Genomic DNA, 25,204 nt, shown 5'->3' on the forward strand with positions numbered 1-25,204 from the left:
CATAATGTACTTAGGAGAAATCTAACAAGAGACATACAAGCCTGTACATTTCATTCTTTGCTATTTCTCTTTAACATGTAATGGTTTATGCACTGTAAGTCATAGTAAAAATGTTGAGCAAAGGAATAAAGTCATAGAAGAGTACGTAGCATGATTCTATTATCATACTTAAGTCAAGGTAAAAGTAAATGACATATTGTTTAGAAATTCAAATGCAGTGGAAAAATTATAACCAAAAATGTCAGCGATCAGTTGGGTGCAGTGGCTCATGCCTATAATCCCAGAACTTCAGGAGGCCAAGGCAAGGAGATTGCTCGAGTTCAGGAGTTTGAGGCCAGCCTGGGCAACAAAGTGAGAACCTGTCTTTCTTTACGAGAAAAAAAGAAGCCAGTGATCAATACAAATTCAAGTTACTAATTATCTCTGGGACAAAAAAGAGAGACATAAAGTGATGTGTATGTTAATTGGCTCAATTTAGATATTCTGCAATGTACACATATTTCTGAACAACAAAAAAAAAAGAGAAAGGAAAAAAGAGATATAAAAAGGAAGGGGCACACAGAGGCTTTCAAAAATTCGAAAATTCTAGTACAGTAGTTCCCCCTTCCCTGTGGGGGATATATTCTGAGACCCCCCAGTGAATGTTTGAAACTGTGGATGGTACCAAACCCTATATATACTATGCTTTTTTCTATATATGCATACCTATGATGGAGTTTAATTTCTAAATTAGGCACAGTAAGAAATTAACAACGACTAATAAAATTGAACAATTATACTGTAGTAAAAGTTACGTGAATGTGGTCTCTCTTGCAAAATATCGTATTGTACTGTATTCATCCTTCTTCTTGTGATGATGTGAGATGACAAAATGCCCACATGATAAGGTAAAGTGAGGTAAATGACATGGGCACTGTGACATAGCAGTAGGCTACTACTGAATGTCTGATGGTATGTCAGGAGAAGGATCATCATCTGCTTCAAGTGGTCCTGGATCAACGAGCCACGATGATGTCGATGGTTGGATGTCAAGAGCAGATGATGTTGATGGTTGGGAGTACTTGAGAGTTGCAGGGGTTTTTTTTTTGTTGTTTGTTTGTTTGTTTGTTTTTCCAAAACCTTTTGGAAATCATTGTAATAAAAGCTTCGCCTGTAATCCCAGAACTTTGGGAGGGTGAAGCGGGTGGATCACGAGGACAGGAGATCGAGACCATCCTGGCTAACACAGTGAAACCCCGTCTCTAAAAAAATTACAAAAAATTACCTGGGTGTGGTGGCGCATGCCTGTAGTCCTAGCTACTTGGGAGGCTGATGCAGGAGAATCGCTTGAACCCAGGAGGTGGAGGTGGCAGAGAACCGAGATCATGCCACTGCACTTCAGCCTGGGCAACAGAGCAAGGCTCCGTCTCAAAAAAAAAAAAAAAAGAAAGCTTGTCAGTTTTTAATCAAAGTGTTGGTACAGAGGTTATAATCCTGTGATCATATGGGTGACTTCAATGCTGCACTTTATCTGAGGATTGTATTCTATAATTTTGTCTTTTCATATCTGTGTGATTGGAAACACTTGAGCAAATTTCAGTAATGTCTACATTGTTCGTTCTGCTTTAGTTTCTTCTTTGTCTTCCCTTTCTCTGTAGATGACTCAAAAATTTCTTCCTCATTTATTAACAATTCTCATTGGCCTTCAATATGTTCTTCTACTTCTTCATCAAGCATGTCGGCAAACCCTTCTCCACCAACTTGTCTTGCTGTGTGAATTATTTTCCTAACTTTTCCGTCAATCCCCAGGAAGCCATTAAAATCATTCATGACTTCACTCTAGAAGTTCTTCCAGCAGGCATTTACAGTTTCTGGTTTTAATTCATGCATGGCAGCTTTGATGAATGTTACTGCGACAGCAACAGTGAATGATTTCCAGCATTACATTACATCCAGATTATGATCTGCATCAATCAATTAGTGGCTGATCAAATACCAGGCAGGTGTGTGACCTTGATAACTCAAATACCAGGCAGGTGTGTGACCTTGATAAACCAAATGATGCCTGCTCAAGGGGCTGAAGCAATGAGGTTTTATTTGGAGGTAAAAATACAACCTCAACATTTTCATTTTCATAGCAAGATGGCCAGGTGCATTGTCTAATATTAACAGAACTTTGAATTCCAACCTTTCCTCATCCAAGTATTTTTTTTTTTAACTTCTGGAATGAAGCACTGGTGGAACCATTCCATAAACAAGATGTGTGTCACCCATGCTTTATTATTATGTTGCCAGAACATAGGCAGATAATTTTTTGTTTCAGAGAGCATGTGGGTTCTTCACTTTGTATACTACACTTGATTTTATCATATGTCCTGCAGTGTTGCCACATAGTACCAGAGTTCATCTGTCCCTCCATGTTTTATGCCCTGGTGCTTCCTTTGTACATCTATGAATGTAGGTTCCATTGGGCATCTTCTTCCCGAAGCCTAGCTTTACGGCAATTAGAGATTTGCTTTAGATGGTTTCCTTTCTCCTTATTCAACATCTTCAGAAATGCGGCAGCACCTTCTTTGTTGGCAGATGCAGCCTCTCCAGTAGTTTTTGTATTTTTCAGTCCAAACCTATTTCCAAATCTGTGTAACCATCTCTTACTTGCAGTAAATGGCTTAGGGTCACTCGTTTCAGGGGATTCCTTGCTGAAGCCTTCATAGAGGGCTCAATGCTTTCTGTTGCAACATGTTACTGTCAAATTGAACACGTTTTTCTATTCAAGTCTTCCACCCCCAAATTTAATGCCTTTTCCATTCTTAACTAAGCATTTGCCATGCCCTGTGGCCATGACTTTTGCATCGTGAGGTGCCATAGCAAAACTAGCACAAATTTTTTTTTCTTTCTTCACAATTTCACAAGTAGAATATTCATTCTTACTGTAGATCTTAGCAACCTCAGCATACAATCTTTTCTCTTTTCTTATTAAATTGAGAACTTTCACCTTTCACTTTCCCCCCCCCAAAAAAATAACGCTTTACCACTTCTCTTTGGCATATCTAAATTGCCAGAATCCAGAATACTACACTCGTGCTTTGGGGCCATTATTAAGTTACATAAGAGTGACATGAATATAAGTACTGCAATATGTGACAGTGAAACTGAGAATTGAGACAGCTACTGACTAATAGACAGGGAGCATGTACAGTGTGGAGACCCTGGACAAAAGGAGGATTTACTTCTGTGTGGGGCAGAGTAGGATAATGTGAGATTTCATCACACTACTCAGAATAGTGAGAAATTTAAAACATATGAATTGTTTATTTCTGGACCTTCCCATTTAACATTTTTGGGCCATGGTTGACCACAGGTAACTAAGCCTGGAGAAAAAGAAACTAAGGATAAGGGTGGGCTACCTTAATGTCTATTTCCAGAGATGGGTGGCATGTGTATGGGTTTTTATTTTACTATTGTCCATTAAACAGTCTTACATGTTTCAACATACCATCTGGCAGATATTTCACAATAAAATTTTAAAACTCAATGTAAATAAGTTATCTAATCAAAAAATAAAGATGTTCCTGTGAATGACCTCTTTGGACTAACCCTAGGAAGATTTTATCTGCATTTTAATGATGGACTGTAGAAGAAATAAGACCAGGTCTGGGCCATGTTAGGAGTGCGGTGGCGGAGGGTCTGGATAGCCTGGGAAAATATGCCAGCTATGCTACTCTTCTTCGTTCCTAAGCATTTTAATCTGGGCTGCTTTCCCAGAACCCTCAGACACCTGGACTGCAAGAAAATTAAGACTTGGTGATGTTCACAAACGATCCTTTCGTGAACAGGTTTCCTATACTACCCTTTAATGCAACAATGGGATGAAGAGATGAAGACTTCTAGCAGGCTACCTCAGAAAGGTTGCTGACCAAAGGCTGTATGGACCAAAAAGTCATAACACCACCCTGGATGAAAGGACATTTACCTAAGGAATTACCCGCTCTCAATTCTTCCCAGGTGCATGTAGTATAGATTAAATAAGGTGGTTGTATGGCAACAGAGACATTATTAGAAACATTCTTCTTGAAGTTTGACAACAAAGCAGTAGATGTGTATCTACTACAGAGTTGTTAGTGAAAAAAGGTATGTTTGAAGTAATCAATTGGTATTCATTTTAAACAGTAATGGTCTTACTGAAGCTAAGTTTAATACATGCTGTGTTTGGAAGTAATTTCTTTACCACTGTGTAGAAACCTTCACAGCTGTTCTTTTTTTGTTGTTGTGTTGTTGACATTCAGTAGCAAATTACAAGAATCTCTGATGAAAACTCCTTACAGCTAGATGTGTTCTTATTTTTGAATTCAGACTCAGTGTCAATGATCTCACTACTCTATCTCCAATTTTCCCAAATACATGGGTAAATTGTAAGTGGAAGCTAATTTATCTTCAAAAATTTGAAGGGCAGGATAGACACTGTCTAGTTTGGAAATATTAAGAATATAATTCTTAGTGAATATAAATAAATAGTTTTTGATTTCCCATAATTTTTCATAGGCTAGCTTAAAAAATTCTTTCTTGCTTACCTTTTAAATTACTTAGCTCTAACAATTTCTACTTTGCAAATTTTGCAGAAATAACATTAAATGGAGCAGAAAATAAAGCTAGTATAGGGTAGAGAAGGATTACCTGACTTAGAGCACAGGGAAAGAACTCCATCTTCATTTCCACTAAAAATTGAATATTTCATGCTGTCCTGAATTGAGTCAGGAGCAAAAGCTTTAACAGTCACAATAGAAGTACCTGTAAAAATTAGGTAAAAAAAGAACTCCATTAGGATAAAAAAATTTCATGGAAACACAAGAGAAAATACTGATTATTTATTATTTGCCTACTATGTTTTCACTTGTTCATTGATTCAACAATAACTTATTGTCTTCAATGAGCCAGATCCCATGCTAGGTGCTAGGGATATACTAGCAAACAAGATAGAAAAGATCTCTGTCCTCATGGTGGTTATTAACTTGTGTAAGGAGACAGACAATAAACCATTAAAACATACATAATCATAGAAAAGTTTCAATTGTGTCAGGCCCTTAGAAAGAGAGAAATAAGGTTACTTGATATAAGGTACTTCTTTTTCAGGGGAAGCACCAGACTTTAGAGAGGTCTGGGGACAGTGAAGGATGAGAAGCCATAGAAACAGCTGGAAGAAGAGGATTTTGGGAAAAAGAGCCACCACCACAAAGGCTGTGGGCTAGGAAAGGGCTTGGTTGGGTAAAGCACAATGAGTAGGGGAAGAAGAAGAAGGTGGAGATGGCAGGATAAGCAAAGGTCAGATTTTATTGTAAGTGCAAAGGGAAGTCATGGAAGCATTTTAAGGAGTAGAGTAAAATATGATTTGCTTTTTAAAAATATCATACTAAGTGCTGTGAGAACAGAGAAGAGAGGGGTAAGAATGGAGCAGAGAGGCCAATTAAGATAATACTGCAATAGTCCAAGCAGAAGACAATGACCTAGGACTGTGGGATGGGAGATGGAGAGACATGGACAGATTAAAGACATTTGACACACTGCCCCAAAACACTGGAGGTGGGAGTGGGAAAGGAGGCTATGAGAGCATAAAGAAAAGAAATATTCCCTCAACCAGCTTCCGATCTAGCTGTAGGAAAAAGCAACCCAACTAGAGAGTAACCAGCAACTTAACTGCAAGACATGAATTAATTCAAGATTTGTTCAGATAGAGCAGGGGCAAAGAGATAACTTTAAGGGAGAAACAGAAATTCAGTTAGGTATAGGAATTGGAAAGACAAAAGAGAAGGAAGTCATTTTAAGTTACGGGAACAGACTAAATACCAACATGAAAGAAGAATTAGCAAGGACTGATAGAGGCAAGAAGACAATCCTTGTAATTAGATCTAGAACCAAATAAGGCAGGAGTGGGGAATAAATTTAAATAGGAAGTATAAATACAGTGTGAAGAAGGGTAAGAGAGGTAGCAAGAGAATGGGAGAGCTTGAGAGCCAGGGAGATAAGTGTGGCTTTATGTCAAGAATCAGCTAATTTTTCTGTCAAGGGCCAGATATTAATTATTTTAGGCTTTACAAGTCACACAGTCCTGTTGCAAATACTCAAATCTGCTATTGTAGCATGAAAGTAGTCACAGACAATGCATAACCAAGGGAGTGTGGCTGTGTTTCAATAAAACTTTATTTACCAAAATAAGTGGATGAGCAGATCCTCGCTTTATGTGACAGGAAGCAATGAAGAAATGCAAAGTTCTTGAGGGGACTGATATACTAAGAGAAGATGCTGAGTGCCTTTAAGGCAAACCAGGTAGGGCAGCTGTCTGTATGGGAAGCTCTGTGGAAAAAGTCATCTACAGCAGCCGGAAGGGTCCCAAGTATTCATTTGGTCCCCAAGTTAGTACTTTGATGTCCTTGTAATATTTTATGTCCTTTGCTGCTCATCTTTCCCAGTTGTCTATGTGTCACCCTCTTAGGATTGCCTGCCTTGTTTTGTAAAAGTATTTTTTTACTTAATCAATTTCATTTATGTGAAATTTACATACAATAATCTGTACATATTTTAAATATAGAGTTCTATGAATCTTGAAAATATATACACTGTGTAATCAGTATCATAAGCATAAAATATTTTCTATGATCAGTATCATGATCATAGAATATATTCGACACCTCAAAATGCTTTCTTATGCCCATTTCAGTTTTCTCTCACTTTTGGCCCCAGTAAATCACTGATCTGCTTTCTATAAGTCTACATTAGTTCTGCCTCTTAAATTTCATACATTTGTGAATTACACAATACCTGATTTCTTTTGCTCAGCATTTTTTGAGAATCAAGCATGTTATTTTATGTATAAAAATTCATACAATTGTTATTGCAGAGTAATATTCTATTAAATGGAAAACCACAATTTCTTTTTCATTTACCTAGGGATGGGCATTTGAATTATTTCCAGTTTTTGGCTATTATGAAAAAAACTGCTATGAACATTCATACACAAGTGTGTGTGTGGACCCATGTTTTCACTGATCAAGGCCTAAATACCTACGGTAAGTATACATTTAACCTTATAAGAAAATGCAAAACTATTTTTCCAAAGTAGTATCATTTTACATTTCTTCTAACAACATATGAGAATGGCAGTTGCTCTACTAATATGGTTTGGCTTTGTGTCCCCACCCAAATCTCATCTCAAATTGTAATCCTCATAATCTTCACGTGTCAAGGGAGGCACCAGGTGGGAGGTGATGGGATCATGGGGGCACTTTCCCCATGCTGTTCTCATGATAGTGAGTGAGTTCTCATGAGATCTGATGGTTTTATAAGGCAGTTTTCCCTGCTCTTGCCCACTGTCTCTCACCTACTGCCATGTAAGGCATGCCTCCACCCCTTCCACCATGTTTATAAGTTTCCTGAGGCCTCCCCAGCCATGCAGAACTGTGAGTCAATTAAACCTCTTTCCTTTGTAAGTTACCCAGTCACAGGTAGTATCTTTATAGCAGTGTGAGAACGGACTGATAACATCCACATTGATTGGTATTATCAATCTTTTAAATTGTAGCCATCCTAGTGGATATGTAGTATCTTACAGTGGTTTTAATTTAATTTATCTGGTGTCTGGTGATATTGTGCATCTTTTCATGTGCTTATTGGCCACTTCCTCCTCTTTTTAATCCATCTTTGGTCCTTGGCCTCCTGTTTACTACTCACATACTATTCCTCAGAAACTTCCTCATAGTTCCACTTCTACGCTGTTGGTGAAAATGTAAACTAGTACGACGACTATGGAAAACAGTCTGCAGATTCCTTAAAGAACTAAAAGTAGATCTACCATTTGATCCAGCAATCCCACTTCTGGATATCTACCCAGAGGAAAAGAAGTCATTATACAAAAAAGATACCTGTGTATGCGTGTTTAGGGCAGCACAATTCACAATTGCAAAAATATGGAACCAGCCCAAATGCCTATCAATCATCGAGTAGATTAAGAAAATGTGATATATATATATGCACACACACCATGGAATACCTCTCAGCCATAAAGAGAAATGAAATAATGGCATTCACAGCAACCTGGATGGAATTGGAGACTATTATTCTAAGTGAAGTAACTCAGGAATGGAAAACCAAACATTGTGTATTCTCATTCGTATGTGGGAGCTAAGCTAAGAGGATGCAAAGGCATAAGAATGATACAATGAACTTTGGGGACTTGGGGGAAAAGGTGGGGAAGTGAAGGATAAAAGACTATACAATAGATACTATATACACTGTTTGGGTGACGGGTGCACCAAAATCTCAGAAATCACCACTAAATAAGTTATTCATGTAACCAAAGACCATCTGTTTCCCCAAAACCTACTGAAATAAAAACTTAAATTTAAAAGAAACAAAAAAACAAATATGTATACATAGAAAAAATATTATATATATGTATATTCTAAAAAATAAATGAAAGAAGCTTCCTCATAGTTCCTTTACTGGCCTTAGTCCTCTGATATTAGGCCTGTAATTTATGGCATCTGTTTTACACTCCCAATCTTGCAATGCCTGTGCTTCTTACTTAACTGTCATCCTGCCCTATACGATTACACATACTGGTAAAAGTATGCACACTGTCCTGATTGGGGAGAGATGGATAGGGAGTAAGGCTATAGGAGTCTACCCTGCTGCTGGGTGCACAGTAACAGAGGCCATGTATAAGACAGTGGTAACAAGTCACAAGAGGAAAGTAAGAGGAAACATCTAAAAGGAACAGGAGCTGACATGGTGTCAGAGATGAGTACAGAGCAGGGCTCATCATCCCATATGCATTTGGGTAAAAGCAAGAAGCAGGAACAAATGTAGAGGTCAAATGGTGGAGGAGGCCAGAAAATGTCTCAGACAGTCACTGTCAGCCTATCGCTGTCAGCAGGGAAAAGAGGCTTCAGGATGCTGAAGATTCTGGGCTTTTCAAGAGAAGCTCAAAATTTTATATATTTATTTTTATTTGAAATCTCTCAATTTCTAAGTGTTGGAAAATAATTTAATTTATGGGGAAAAACCCCACTATATTGGTTGAACAAAACACAGCTGTGGTCTGACTCCAATTCTGAGTTTTCTTGTTTACCATCTCTGATAGAGAAGACAAATCTCTCCTCTTTTGTTTCTAACCCTTTTGGCACTTAGATTGTGCTACTAATTTGTCATCTAAGGACTTGTACTGAACATAGTTGAAGACTGATCTCATCTGCCTGCTTAAATTGGACTAAGTTCCATGACAGCAGAGGAGATTTTCTATATATTTGTATTGTATATGTTTTATAACTCTATATTAGTTTTGCTTTGAAAATTTCATATACTTGTGTATCATGTAGTATCTGGCGTATTTTGCTCAGTGTAATTTTTCAGGAATAAAACATGTTATTTTGTGTATCAAGTTTATTTTCTTGTATGTAGTAGATGCTTAATGAGTACGGGAAGAAAGGAGGTTAAAAAGGGAGACAGAGGAGAAAGGACACTGACATTTTCTATTGTGAGAGATTAGAAAAATCCTGGTCTCTGCCTACAGGATCACTGTAAGCCAAAAGCAATTTTTTTTAACTAACTTTTTTTTCAAATAACTCACTGCTATAATACCATATCTGATAGTGAGATTTGCAGTAGTTAGAAAAAACAAACAAAATAACAACAAAAAAAACAGCTACTCAAGATCTTTGCTGAGCCATCTCATTGAACCCTCATACACAAGCCCCAGAGACCCCAACTTGAAACCCATCTTGCTAGAGGTAATAACAAAAATGACCCCTAAACCAAGCCAAATTGTTATTTTTTTTTTCTGGATATGTAAAAGGATTTTACTGTAAAGAACAGAAAAAAGAAAAGGCTCTGGAACAAATAGTAGTTTTCCTTAGAAGCCTTTCAATGCCTAACACTCAAAAATGCAGTGATCACTGTAAATATTAAAGGAAACAAGTGTGATATTGCCTGCAAAACTGAAACTTCAGTGAAAGCTCAGTCAAAAAAAAGGGATAAAACAGAATTTGTTAAGGAAAAAGAGCAAGAAAACCCAACTGAATATATTACTCTCTTTACAAACATTATGCTTAACATAAACTGTAACAAAGTTTAAAAATCATTTATCAGGATTTCCAAACGGTTATTCTTTTCAAGCCAGTTAGGAAGAAGTCATTTAGTGACAAAGTAATGGATTATAATCAATCATGGTGGAATCAAGTTACCACACATGTTGAGAACTCTTTCAAATTGCATTATAATCTGATGCTTATTTTATTGCATTTTGAGAGACATATTGTTAATATAAAAATGTCTTAGATTTTTGGTAGGAATATGCCTTTACAGTAGTACAATATGTTTTATCCCCACTGCTCAAAGTTCTGTGCTTCCGGGTACAATTTATTTCCTAAACACAGGAAATTTTATTTCAACTGGCTTGTCATATAAGTCTTAAGGATGGCAGTAAGAAAAGAAACAGCTATGCCAACAAAAGAAACAATCTTGCTGACGGCCTTTTTTTCATGGGTTAGAATGCTTATTATATGCCCAATTACAAAAGAAAACATAGTGACTGCTTGCATAGAAAAGAATAAAGATGAGTACAGAACTGCAAAGAAGAGTTATACATGGCCTCTCTCATAAAGGAACAATCCTATTTTTGTTGCAAATCAAATTTTCATAATATCAAATGGAATTGTAGCACAAAAGAATTTCATTCAATGAAAATACTTCAAACTAGACACTGAAGTCAGCAAGAAGCTGCAAATGTTTTATATGTTCTTCCTCTGACAAAGTCCAAATTGGAGATTCTCTTGAAAAAAGATAAAATAACTTAAGGGACTTGAATCCTTCTTGGCATCTGCTTACTGTGAAAATTTTAAATAAAAGTCTATCTCTGGGCATATAGATGAAACTTACTATTCATTTCACATTATCAAGGTAGAAAGGGTAAGCTATGAAAACCAACACTGTACCTGCAACTCGAATGAGTTAAGTGAAACATACAGAATAATTTACCTTTTACATTTTCAAGCTTTTATAAATTTTATTTCAAGTCTGACACCGTATTTAAAAAGTGTGAAACATTTAATGTTCTTGGTTTTTTCTTCTTTACAAAAATAGAGTTAAAAAACTCTGACCGCTCACAGCAGCAATTTAAAAGCATACTTAGATAACTATTAATTAATGCTATATGACTGTAAAAATCAATAATTATAAAAGTATTTAGGTAAAGTAATTATGAAAACATTGTATGCATAGAAGTGCATGAGTGAATAATTCTAGAGTTTTATGTTTGTTATTCCTAAGCAATGCCAACATTTTCTTATTGATGACTGACTTGAGAGAAACAGATTTTCAAACATTTGGATGATTCTGAATTATCTGTTATCACTTAAGTGTCCAACCATTGAAACTAAACATATTGCAACTACTTAAGAAAAGCCTGGAGTGACATTAGCAAGATGGCAGAATGGGAAACCCCAGACCTTGCTGCACAAAGGCACGGACTTAACAAGAACATATGTTCCAAAAAGCCTTCATGAGAACTGCAAAAGCAGTTAAGAAGTCATGGGACACCAGGCAAGCTCAAAACCAAGAATAGTCAGATTGTAGACATTGCATTTAATCCCCAGTGGACATTCCCCTAAGCTAGCAACAGTGCTAGTGAAATTCTTTTGTGCTACAATCCCATTTGATATTATGAAAATATTATGAAAATTTGATTTGCAATAAAAATAGGATTGTTCCTTTATGAGAGAGGCCATGTATAACTCTTCTTTGCAGTTCTGTAGTCATCTTTATTCTTTTCTATGCAAGCAGTCACTGTGTTTTCTTTTGTAATTGGGCATATAATAAGCATTCTAACCCATAAAAAAAAGGCCATCAGCAAGATTGTTTCTTTTGTTGGCATAGCTTTTTCTTTTCTTACTGCCACTCTTAAGAATAAACACACAACTTGGGGCTTCTCCACTGGGATGGAAAGAGAAGGGTAGAATATACATCCAACTTTATAGCTTTTGAGGGGGCTACCTGTGGAGATGGTTTCTGTGTTAACTTGGCTCAGAATACTGATGGGGAGCCAGCATACTTTGGATGCTTGAGGGTTGCTGAGAACAAAAGAGAACTCAGTGGCTTACCGCAGTGCCAGAGAATGTGAAGTACTGCAGATAGACACCAGAGAGAGCAAGAGACTACAAAGCCCCTCAGAAAGAAACTGGCAAACCTCTCTAATTGGGTAGTCACGTACATAAGCCCAGTGAAGATTCATCCCCAGAAAACCTTTAGGAGGCCCCCAGAATCTGTAGCCAGGCTGATTGGTAAAGATCTTCCTTTGCACAAATCCAGTCTGTAAAATCTAGAGAGGTGGTGATTTTTTTCAAATGCAGAAATCACACCAAAAAAAAAAAAAAAAAGACAATAAGGAATATGGAGAAACAAAAAATGGCTGAATCAATGGAATAAAACAAATCTCCAGGTGCTAACCTGAAGAAACAGATCTATAAATTACTTAACAAAGAATTCAGAACTGAGTGCAGTGGTTCATGCCTATAATCCCAGCACTTTGGGAGGCCAAGGCAGGTGGATCACCTGAGGTCAGGAGTTCAAGACCAGCCTGGCCAACATGGTGTAACCCTGTCTCTACCAAAAATAAAAAAATTAGCTGGGCATGGTGGCGGGCACCTGCAATCCTAGCTACTCAGAAGGCTGAGGCAGGAGAATCGCTGGAACGCAGGAGGCAGAGGCTACAGTGAGCCGAGATTATACCACTGCACTCCAGCCTGGGCAACAGAGCAAGACTCCATCACACACACAAAAAAAAAGAATTTAAAATAATTACACAGAAACTCAATGCACTACAAGAGAACACAGACAATCAAATGAAATGAGGAAAACTGCATGAACAAAGTGAGAATATCAATAAAGAGATAGAAACTAATTTAAAAAAACCCAGAAATTAAGGAGCTGAAGAACAAAATAACTGAATTGAAAAATTCACCAGAGGGATTTAACAGAAGACTTGATCAAACAGAGGAATCAGTGAACTTGAAGACAGATCATTTGGAATTATCAAGTTAGAGGAACAACAGCAACAATAAAATAATGAAGAAAAGTGAAGGAAGCCTAAGGAACTCATGGGACATCATCAAGTGGACCAATATATTCACTATGAAAGCTCAGAAGGAGAAGAGGGAAACAAAGGAAAATGGGTAAAAAGCTTATTTGAAGAAACAATGGCAAAAAAGTCCCCAAATCTGAGGGAAAAAATAGACATCCATATTCATGATACTTAAAGGACTATACATAGGATAAATCCAAAGAAATCTACGTGAGAACACATTAAAATCCAACTGTATATGTCAAAGATAAAGAGAAAATCTTAAATTAAAAAAAAAAAGAGAAAGAAAAAGTGACTCATCCTGAACAAGGGAGCTCCCATAAGATTAAGTGGATTTCTCAGCAGAGACAGTAGAGATCAGAAGGGAGTAGGATGATGTACTCAAAGGGCTGAAAGTAAGAAAACTGCCAACCAAGAATACCACGTCTTCCAAAACTGTCCTTCATAAATGAAGGAGAGGTGACTTTCCTAGATAAACAAACGTTGAGGGATTTCAAGTCTATTAAACCTGCCTTACAGGATATGAGAAAGTGAGTCCTTCAAGTTGAAACAAAAGGACACTATACAGCAAATGAAAACACAAAAAAATATATACAGCACTTGTAAAGGTAAATATAATATGGCAATAGTGATGAAAAAATCACTTTTATTCTGGTATAGAATTTAAAAGATAAAAGAATAAAAATATAACTACTAACTAGGTTAATGGATATGCAATATAAAAGATGTAATCTGTAACATTGATAATATAGAATGTGTTGGGGATGTAAAGGAGCAGAGTCTTTTGTATGTAATTGAGCTAGAGCTGTTATAAAGTAAATTGTTATAAATATGATATTTTATATAGTCTCCATAGTAACCACAAAGAAAATATGTATAGAAGAAACACAAAAGGAAATAAAAAAATCAAGGTATGTTGCTACAAAAAATTAACAAAACACAAAGGAAGGTAACAAGAGAAGAAAATAAATGAAAAATAAGATCCAGCTATATGCTGTCTATTAGAGACTCACTTTACATAGAAGAACACACAAATAAGCTGAAAATGAAATGATAAAAATATTTCATACAAATGCTATCCAAAAGAGTGTAGGGTTGGCCATACTTTTATCAGGAAAAATTGGCTTTAAGTTAAAAACTATCACAAGATGTAAATAAGAACATTATATAATAATAAAAAGTCCATTCAACCACAATGGAATGAAACTCAAAATCATTAGCAAAAGGAAAGCTAGTAAATTCTCAAGTACATGGAAATTAAACAACACATTCTTGAACTACTGATACATCAAAAGGAAATCAAAAGAAAATTTAGAAAATATATTGAGATAAAAACAGAAACAAAACATACCAAAAATTATGGGATGCAATGATAGTAATACTAAGAGGAAAGTTAATAGTGGTAAACACTTACATTAAAAAAGAAGAAAGATCTCAAATTAACAATCTAACATTACAACACAAGGAACCAGAGAAAGAACAAACTTAACCCGAAGTTAGTAGAAGGAAGGAAATAATAAATACTAAAGCAGAAATAAATGACATTATAGAAAAACAATAGAAAAAAACAATGGAACTAAGTTATTTTTTTGAAAAGCTTAATAAAATTGGCAAAGCCTTAGCTAGACTAATGAGACAGAGACAGAGAAAGAGAGAGAGAGAAAAAAATGAATCCTTAATTAAAGAGGAGACATTAAAACCAATGCCACAGAAATCCAAAGGGATCATAAGAGACTAATTTGAACAATTATACAGCAAAAAATTAGATAACCTAGATGAAATGGATACATTTCTGGAAATATATAACCTACCAAGACTGAATCATGAATAAATAGAAAATCTCAAGAAACCTGTAATTAGTAAGGTGATTGAGTCAATAATCAAAAACTCTCAACAAAGAAAACTCCAGGACCAGATGGCATCACTGGAGAATTCTAAGAAACATTTAAAAAATTAATGTCAATTCTTCTTAAACTCTTTCAAGAAATTGAAGAGGAGAGAATACTTTGAAACTCATATTATGAGGCCAGCATTATTCTCATTCCAAAGTCAGACAAAGATACTAAAAAGAAAGTTTTCTTCAGACCAATCTCCCTGATAAATATATATGCAAAATTTATCAATAAAATACTAGCAAACATAATTCAACAGCACATTAAAAGGATTATATACCATGACCAAGTGGGGTTTGTCCCTGGGATGCAAGAATTGTTCAACATACAAAAACAAATTAATGCGATACACCACATCAACAGAACAAAAAATAAAAATTACATGATCATCTCAGTAGATGCAGAAAAAGCGTATAACAAAATTCAACATGCTTTCATGGTAAAAACTCAAACTAGGAATAGAAGGAAATTATTTCAACATAATAAAGGCCATATCTAAAAATCCCACAGCTAACACAACACTCAACAGTGAAAAACCAAAAGCATTTATGCTAAGATAAGGAACAAGACAAGAATGCTCACTTCTTTTTTTTTTTTTTTTAAAGACAGAGTCTTACTCTGTCACCCAGGCTAGAGTGCAACGGCATGATCTCGGTTCACTGCAACCTCTGCCTCCAAGGTTGAAGTGATTCTCCCACCTCAGCCTCCTGAGTAGTCGGGATTACAGGCATCCGCCATCATACCTGGCTAATTTTTGTATTTTTGTGGAGACAATGTTTCACCATGTTGGCCAGGCTGGTCTTGAACTCCTGACCTCAGGTGATCTGCCCACCTCGACCTCCCAAAGTGCTGGGATTACAGGTGTGAGCCAGTATGCCCAGCCAGAATGCCCACTATTACCACTTCTATTTAACACAGTATACAAGTCCTAGCCTGAGCAATTAGACAAGAGAAAGAAGAAGAAGAAAAAAAATGCATGCAAACTAAAAAGAAAAACAAAGTAAAATTATCTTTGCAGACGACATAATCCTGTATGTGTAAAACCCTAAAGATCCCACAAGAAAAACTAATAAACAAATTCAGCAAAGTTGCAGGATACAAAAATCAATATGCAAATATTAGTTGTGTTTCTATCCAGTAACAATAAGCAATCTGAAAAGAAAATTAGAAAAACAATACCATTTACAACATCATCAAACAAAATAAAATACTTAAGAATAAACTTAATCAATGAGGTAAAATATTAATACGTTGAAAATTTCAAAACATTACTGAAGGAAATCAAAGAAGTCACAAATAAATGGAAAACCATTCCATGTTTATGAAATGGAAGACAATATTGTTAAAGTGACCATAGTATCAAAAGGAATCTACAGATTCAATTCAATCCCTACCAAATCTTCAATGTCATTTTTTGTAGAGTTCGTATAAGCTACCCTAAAATAAATATGGAATGTCAAAGGACCCTGAATAGTCAAAATAATCTTGAGAAAGTAAAACAAAGCTAGAGGCTTCATACTTACTGACTTCGAAACAGTTTACAAAGCTACACCAATCAAAATGTATGATACTGGAATAAAGACAGACATATAGACTAATGGAACAGAATATAAGGCCTAGAAATAAACCCACATGTATATGATCAAATGAACTTCAATAAGGGTGCCAAGGTTACATAATAGGGTATGAATAGTATCTTCAACAAATGGTGCTTGGAAAACTGAATATCCACATATGAAATACTGAAGTTGGACCCTTTTCTTATACAATCTACAAAGATCCACTCAGAATGGATTAGAGACTTAAATGTAAGAGCTGAAACTCCAAAATTAATATAATATAGGAGGAGAGCTTCATGATATTTAATTTAGCAATGATTCATTCTTTGGATATAAGACCAAAAGCATAGGCAACAAAAGCAAAAAAATAGACAAATAGGAGTATATCAAACTGAAAGCTTTTTCACAGCACAGGAAACAATGAACAGATTAAAAAGGGAACTTATATAATAAGAGAAAATAGTTGCAAGCCACATATCTGATGAGAGGTTAATATCCATAGTATATAAATAACTCTTGCAAATAAACAAGAGAACAAAAGCAAATAACCTGATTAAAAATGAACAAAGGACTTGAACAAACATTTCTCCAAAGACGATATCCAAACGGTCAATATCATTAAATATCAGGGAAGTAAAAATCAAAACCACAAGATATTACCTTATACCCATTAGGATGGCATTTATTTTATATCAAAAATTAAAAAAAAAACAGAAAATAACAAATGTTGACAAGGATGTCGAGAAATTGGAACCTTTGTGCACTGTTGCTGGGAATGTAAAATGGTGCAGCCCACTATGGAACATAGTACAGAGGTTCCTCAAAAAATTAAAAATAGAATTACTTTATGATCCAGCAATTCCACTTCAGGATATATATCCCCAAGAATTGAAAACAGGATCTCAAAGGGATATTAGCATACTCATGTTCCTTGCAGCATTTTTAAAAATAATAAATGAGAGGTAAAAGCAACCTAAATGTCCCTCAATGAATGAATGGATAGCCAAAACGTAGTATATACATTCAATGAAATATTATTTGGCCTTTAAAAAGAAGGAAATGAAAATCCTGTTATATGCTACAAAATGGATAAAGCTTAATGACATTATGTGAAATAAGCCAGTTACAAAAACAAATACTGTCTGATTCCACTTATATGAAGTATTTAAATAGACTCTTAGAAACAGAAAGTAGAATGGCATTTGCTAAGGGTTGGTGGAGGGGGCAGAAGAAAATAGCTTGGTGGGCACAATTTGAATTTTACAAAATGAAAAATATCTAGAGATCTGTTGTGTAACAATGTGCACACAGTTAACACTGTCGTAGACTTAGAAATAATCAAGATGGTAAATTTTATGTTATGTGTTTTTAACACAATAAAAAAAGAAGAAATGCATTGATTTTTTTCTACCACCTTCCTATCATTAAAAATGGCTGAACCATTACTAAGGCTTTTTAAAAAAATCACTCCTGATGTGAGACAAAGCATGGAAAATGTATGCTCAAAAGAAATAATTTTCCAAAATTTGTGGATAGGTGAAAATCATGCTTTAAAATGAAAATGGTATACATTCTTAAACTTATTTGCTTTTGTGAACACCTAAAGAAATAATAGAGAAGCCAGAAAACTGCTTATTTTTTTATAAGTTTAAGCAAAAAAAAAAAAAAGATGTGCAGATAAACCAAAATAAAGTTAATGCATGCAATGAGAAGTAAACACAATTGATTAAGTCTGAAATAGATTTTTAATAGGATTATAGATTTTAATGAGGCAACTTTCAAAGAAGTGATTATAAATTGTTGCACTTAATTATTTAAAAATGCACACATAGCAACTTAGAGAAAGGCAGGTGCTAAAATGATCCCTAGATGTTCCAACTATATCTCTAATTTTGTGATTTACAGAAGACTGTATTTAAGACATGAGTTTGAGAATTTTCACTGCTGCTTCAGTGTTGGATCAGAGTCAACATCTTGATTGTGGACCTGGTGCTGCCAATTTTCCCTCACTTCCCAACCATTTCTTGTATGGGCTGTCATCCCAAAGTTGACACTCAGACTTTAGATTCCCTGAATTTTCAGGAGCCATCCTCATTATCCTTTCCAGCTCCCAGAACTCCAGATCAAGCTAGAATCCAGAGCCTGCATGTGTTCAGAAAGAAAGGTTGCATAATTTTTCTATGTGAGTAATTCTCAACTTTGGTTTTGAGATAACCCAGAACATTTCCAATTATCTCAAAAAACAAGGTAAATGTATCTACCAAAATGTACAGTTACACTTCACTTAAAGAAATGCCTTTTAAGATGTTTTTAGTTGCCAAATAATAAAAACTACACTACAGTATTTCCATAATTCAATGATTGTTGCAGCAGCTCTTCATGAAAACAGCATTTTTATCCTCAAAATAATCTAAAATCAGGCTTCAGACATCCACAAACAATAGACGCCAATTAAAAACAAAAATAAAATCCTGTTATTTCTACCAAATGTTTTATTCTATTTTTGACTTAAATATTAATAAGGAGGTTGAGCAAGATGGCAAAATAGAAGTCTCCCCAGATTGTCCTCCCAACAGGGAAACAAAATTGAACAATTATCTACACAAAAAAGGACCTTCATAAGAACCAAAAATCAGGTGAGCAATCACAGTACCTGGTTTTTACTTCATATCACCAAAAGAGGCACTGAGGAGTGTAGGGACAGTCTTGAATTGAATACAACCCCACCTTCCCCATCTCCTGGCAGTGGCCATGTGCTGAAGAGAGAGAATCTGTGCACTTGGGAGAGGGTGAGCATGGTGATTGTGGGACTCTGCATTGGAACTCAGTGCTGTCCTGTCACAGCACAAAGCAACACTGGGCAGAACTCAGCCAGCTCCCATGGAGGGAACATTTAATCCAACCCTGGTGATAGGGGAATCTCCTGTCTCAGCAGTTGGAACCTGAATTCCAGCAAGCCTTGCCACTGCAGGCTAAAGAGCTCTGGAAAGTTTGTCTAGGCCACAAGGACCACAATTCCTGGATAAGGAATTGTGCGGGGCTTGAAGCCAGTGGACTTCGGGGAGCACATGACCTACTGAGACACCAACTGGGGTGGCCAAGGGAGTACTTTCACCACCCCTCCCCTAACCCCAGGCAGCACAGCTTATAACTCCAGGACAGACTCTTTCCTTCCACTTGAGCAGAGGAGAGGGAAGAGTAAAGAAGACTTTGTCTTGCAACTTGGATACCAGCTCAGCCACAGTATGATAGGGCATTAGGCAGAGTGCTGAGGCCCCCATCCCAAGCCCTAGCTCCCAGACAACATTTCTAGACACACCCTGGGCCAGAAAGAAACCTGCTATCTTTAAGGCAAATACCTAGTCCTGACAAGATTCACCACCTGCTAATGAAAGAGCCCTTGGGCCCTGAAGTACTCCTTGGTAGCCAGGAGTACTCACCATGAACCCTGGGCGAGACTCAGAGATGTGCTGGCTTCATGTGTGACCCAGCATATTCCCAGATGTGGTGGCTATGGGGAGAGACCCTTTCTGCTAGAGAAAAAGAGAGGGAAGGGGAAAGGGGACTTTGTCTTGCAGTTTAGGTACCAGCTCAGCCACAGTGGGACAGAGCACCAAGTGGGCTCTTAGGATCATTGATTCCGGGCCTTGGCTCTTGGACAGCATTTCTTGAACTGCCCCAAGGCAGAGGGGAGCCTACTGCCTTGAAGGGAGAGTTCCAGGCCTGGCAATATTCATCACAAGCTGAGTAAAGATTCCTTTGGCCTTGAGTGAACATTAGCAGTAGCCAGACAGTATTCCTCATGGGCCTGGAGTGGTGGTGGCCATATGAGAGAGACTCTTATGCTTGTAGAAAAGCTGGGGGAAGAATAGGAAGGACTTTTGTCTTGTGGCTTGGGTGCCAGCTCAGTTGCAGTAGAATAGAGCACCAGGTAGATGTGTCAGGAGTCCTGACTTTCTGATGACATCTCTGTACACTCCTAGGCTTCAGGGGAACTCACTGCCATGAAGGAAAGGACACAAGCTCGGCTGGCTTCAACATCCACTGTAGAGCCCTGGGGCCTTGAGTGAACATAGCTGGTAGCAAGGCAGTGGTTACTATAGGCCTTCAAGGGGACCCAGTGCTGTACTGGCTTCAGGTATGACCCAGTGCAGTCCCAGTGGTGGTGGTCACAGGGGTTCTTGGGTCACTCCTTCCACAGCTTCAGGCAGCTCAGCACAGAGCAAAAGAATTTGTTTGGAAGGAAGGAAGAGAAGAGAACAAGAGTCTCTGCCTGGTAATCAAGATAATTCTTCTGGGTTATATCCAGGACCACCAAGGTGGTGCCTCTGCATTAGGAACCCCCTAATGCAGATATGACTGCAGTGACCAAAAACTTAGATCACAACACCAAAGTCACTTCGAATACCTGGAAAGTCTTGCCAAGAAGAAGAGATGCAAACAACCTAGATGGCAAAGACTACAATAAATACCTACTCTTCAATATGCAGACACTGAAGAACATCCATAAGCATCAGTACCATCCAGGAAAACATGACCTTACCAAATGAACTAAATAAGGCACCAGGGACAAATCCTGGAGAAACTGAGATAGGTGACCTTTCAGACAGAGAATTCAAAACAGCTGTTTTGCAAAAACTCAAAGAATTTCAAGATAACACAGAGAGGGAGTTCTGAATCCTACTGGATAACTTTAACAAAGAGATTGAAGTAATTGAAAAAATTCAAGCAGAAATTCTGGAGTTGGAAAATACAATTGACATACTTAAGAATGCATTACAGTCTCTAAGCAACAGAACAGATCAAGCAGAAGAAAGAATTAGTGAGCTTGAAGGCAGGCTATTTGAAAATAAACAGAGGAGACAAAAGAAAAAAGGATGAAAAAGAAGAAAGCACATCTACAAGATCTAGAAAATAGCCTCAAAAGGGCAAATCTAAGAATTATTGGCCTTAAAGGGAAAGTAGAGAAAGAGGTAAGAGTACAAAGTTTATTCAAAGGGATGATAACAGAGAACTCCTCAAACTTAGAGAAAGATACCAATATATAAGTATAAGAAGGTTATAGAACACCAAGCAGTTTTAACCCAAAGAAGACTACCTCAAGGCATTTAATAAACTCCCAAATGTCAAGGATAAAGAAAGGATCCTAAAAGCAGCCCAAGAAAAGAAACAACATGCAGTGGAGCTCCAATACATCTGGAAGTAGACTTTTCAGTGGAAACCTTACAGGAAAAGAGAGGGTGGCATGACATATTTAAAGTTCTGGAAGAAATAAGCTTTTATCCTAGAATACCATACTCAGTGAAAATATCATTCAAATATGAAGGAGAAATAAAGACTTTTCCATACAAACAAAAGCTGAGGGATTTCATCAACACCAGACCTGTCTTACAAGAAATCCTATGGGGAGTATTTCAATCAGAAAGAAAAGGACATTAATGAGTAATAAGAAATCATCTTAAGGTACAAAACTCACTGGTAATAGTACACAGAAAAACACAGAATATTATAACACTGTAACTGTGGTGTGTAAACTATTCTTGTTCTAAGTAGAAAGACTAAACAATGAACCAACCAAAAATAATAACTACAACAACTTTTCAAGACATAGTCAAGACAGTACAATAAGATAGAAACAACAAAAAGTTGAAAAGTGAGGGAGCAAAGTTAAGGTATAGTCTTCTTTAAAAATTTTTGATAAGGAGCCTTACTCTGTCTCCCAGGTTGGAGTGCAGTGGTATGATCTTGGCTCACTGCAAACTCCGCCTCCCAGATTCAAGTGATACTTGTACCTCTGCTTTCCAAGTAGCTGAGATTACAGGTATGTGCACCATACCTGGCTAATTTTTCTATTTCTTTAAGTAGAGATGGGTTTCATCATGTTGGCCAGGCTGGTCATGAACTCCTGGCCTCAAGTGATCCACCTGCCTCAGCCTCTTGACATCCTGGGATTATAGATGTGAGCCACAGCACCCTGCCTAAAGTGTAGTCTTTATTAGTTTTCTCTTTGTTTGGTTGATTGTTTGTTTATGCATTCGGTGCCAAGTTATCATCAGTTTAAAATAATAAGTTATGAGATATTATTTGCAAGCCGCATGGTAACCTCAAATCAAAAAATATACAATGAAAACAAAAACGCTAGAAATTAAAATACACAACCAGAGAAAACCGCCTTCACTAAAACGAAGTCAGGAAGATAAGAAAAAGGGAAGAGAAGACTCTAAGACAATCAGAAAACAAATAACAAAATGGCAGGAGTAAATCCTTACTTAGCAATAATAACACTGAATGTAACTGGACTAAACTCCCCAATCAAAAGACATAGTATGGTTAAATGGATATAAGAAGAAGACACAATGGTCTTTTGCCTACTAGAAACACACCTCACCTATGAAGAGACACACAGACTGAAAATAAAGAGCTGGAAAAAGATACTCCATGCAAATGGAAACAAAAAAGAGAAAAAGTAGCTATATTTATATCATATACAATAGATTTCAACACAAAAACTATATAGACAAGGAAGGTCATTATGCAATGATGAATCAATTCAGCAAAAGGATATAATGTTTGTAAATATATATGCACCCACCACTGGAGGACCCAGATATATAAGGAAAATATTATTAGACCTAAAGAGAGATTGACCCCAGTACAATAATAGCTGAAGACTTCAACACTCCACATTCAGCATTGGATATATCATCCAGACAGACAATCAACAAGGAAATATTGAACTTAATAGGCACCATATATCAAATGGACCCAATAGATATTTACAGAACATTTCATCCAATGAAATGGATGGAGAATACACATTCTTCTCCTCAGCACATGGATCATTCTCAAGGACAGACCATATGTTAGGCTGCAAAACAAGTCTTGACAAAATATTGACAATAATTAAAATTATATAAAGTATCTTCTCTGACTGCAAAGGAATAAAACTAGAAATCAATAACAAAAAGTATTTTGGAAATTATACAGACACATGAAAATTAAACAATATGCTCCTGAATGACCAGTGATTCAATGGAAAAATTTAAAAGAAAATTTAAACATTTCTTGAAACAAACGATAATGGAAAGACAAAATAGCAAATCGTATGGGATCCAGCAAAAGCAGTACAAAGAGTAAAGTTTATAGCTGTAAGTGCCTACATCAAAAAAGTAGAAAAATGTCAAATAAACAATCTAACAATGCATCTTAAAGAATTAAAAAAGCAAGAGCAAAACAAACTCAAAATTGGTAGCAGAAAAGAAATAACAAAGATCAGAACAACAAAGATCAGAACAGAAATAAATGAAACTTAAATGAAGAAAACAATACAAAGATCAATGAAACAAAAAATTGGCTTTTTGAAAAGATAAACAAAATCAACAAACCTTTAGCCAGACTCAGAAGAAAAGGGAGAAGACCTAAATAAATAAAATCAGAGGTGAAAAAGAAGGCATTCCGACAGATACTACATAAATTTAAAGGATCATTAGTGGCTACTATGAACAATTATACACCAATAAATTAGAAAACATAGAATAAATGGATAAATTCATAGACACATATAACCTACCAATATTGAACTATAAAGAAATCCAAAGCCTGAACAGACCAATAATATGTAATGAGATCAAAGCTGTAATAAAAAGTCTCCCAGCAAAGAAAATCCCAGGACCTGATGACTTTACTGCTGAATTTTACCAAACATTTACAGAAGAACTAACACCTATCACACTCAAAGTATTCCAAAAAATAAAGCAAGAGAGAATACTACCAAACTCATTCTACCAGGTCATTATTATCTTCGTACCAAAATCAGACTAAGAGACATCAAAAAAAGAGAAAAGTAAAGGCCATATCTCTGATGAACACTGATGTAAAAATCCTCAACAAAATACTAGCAAACCAATTCAACAACACATTAAGAAGATCATTCATCATGACCAAGTGGGATTCATCCCAGGGATGCAAGGATGGTTCAACTTACATAAACCAATGGATGTGATACATCATGTCAACAAAATAAAGGACCATATGATTATTTCAATTCATGCTGAAAAAGCATTTGATGAAATTCAACATCCCTTCATGATAAACACCTTCAACAAACTGGGTATAGAAGAAACATACCTCAGCAAAACAGAGCAATCAGACAAGAGAAAGAAATAAAGGACATCCAAATTGGAAAGGAAAAAGTCAAATTATTCTTGTTTGCAGATGATATGATCTTATATTTGGAAAAACCTAAAGACTCCTCCAAAAAACTATTAGAACTGATAAACAAATTCAGTGAAGTTGCAGAATACGAAATCAACCTACAAAAATTCATGGCATATTGCCATGCCAGCAGCAAACAATATGAAAAAGAAACGAGAAAGTAATCTCATTTACAATAGCTACAAATAAAATAAAATACCTAGGAATTAACTTAACCAAAGCAGTGAAAGACTTCTGCAATGAAAAGTATAAAAGATTGATGAAAAAAATTGAGGAGGCTTCACAAAAAAGGAAAAGATATTCCATGTTCATGGATTGAAGAATCACTATTTTTAAAATGTCCATACTATCAAAAGCAACCTAAAGATTCAATGCAATCCCTACTAAAATACCAATGACGTTCTTCATAGAAATAGAAAAAATCTAAAATTTAT

General features: G+C 36.2%; 1 protein-coding gene and 1 long non-coding RNA gene across 3 annotated transcripts in view; one reads left to right on the plus strand and one right to left on the minus strand.

Annotated features, from left to right (window-relative positions):
- Positions 1-25,204, plus strand: part of LOC101927947 (uncharacterized) — a 469,997-nt gene that overhangs the window by 436,424 nt on the left and 8,369 nt on the right. The window contains exons 13-14 of one of the 2 annotated variants that reach the window (XR_007058336.1): positions 3,816-4,110; positions 6,922-7,040. This is a non-coding gene — a long non-coding RNA (uncharacterized LOC101927947). Of the gene's footprint in view, positions 1-3,815; positions 4,299-6,921; positions 7,041-25,204 lie in introns of those variants that run through there. The other variant, XR_007058335.1, reaches the window with a different exon arrangement.
- The window catches only part of DCHS2 (dachsous cadherin-related 2), a 260,058-nt gene that overhangs the window by 33,505 nt on the left and 201,349 nt on the right, over positions 1-25,204 (minus strand). Inside the window, exon 14 of the mRNA NM_001358235.2 lies at positions 4,654-4,767. Coding sequence (NP_001345164.1) covers positions 4,654-4,767 — 114 coding nt within the window. The remainder of the gene's footprint in view (positions 1-4,653; positions 4,768-25,204) is intronic.

The sequence above is a fragment of the Homo sapiens genome, chromosome 4, assembly GCF_000001405.40.
Source record: "Homo sapiens chromosome 4, GRCh38.p14 Primary Assembly".
Taxonomy (NCBI): Eukaryota; Metazoa; Chordata; class Mammalia; order Primates; family Hominidae; genus Homo; species Homo sapiens.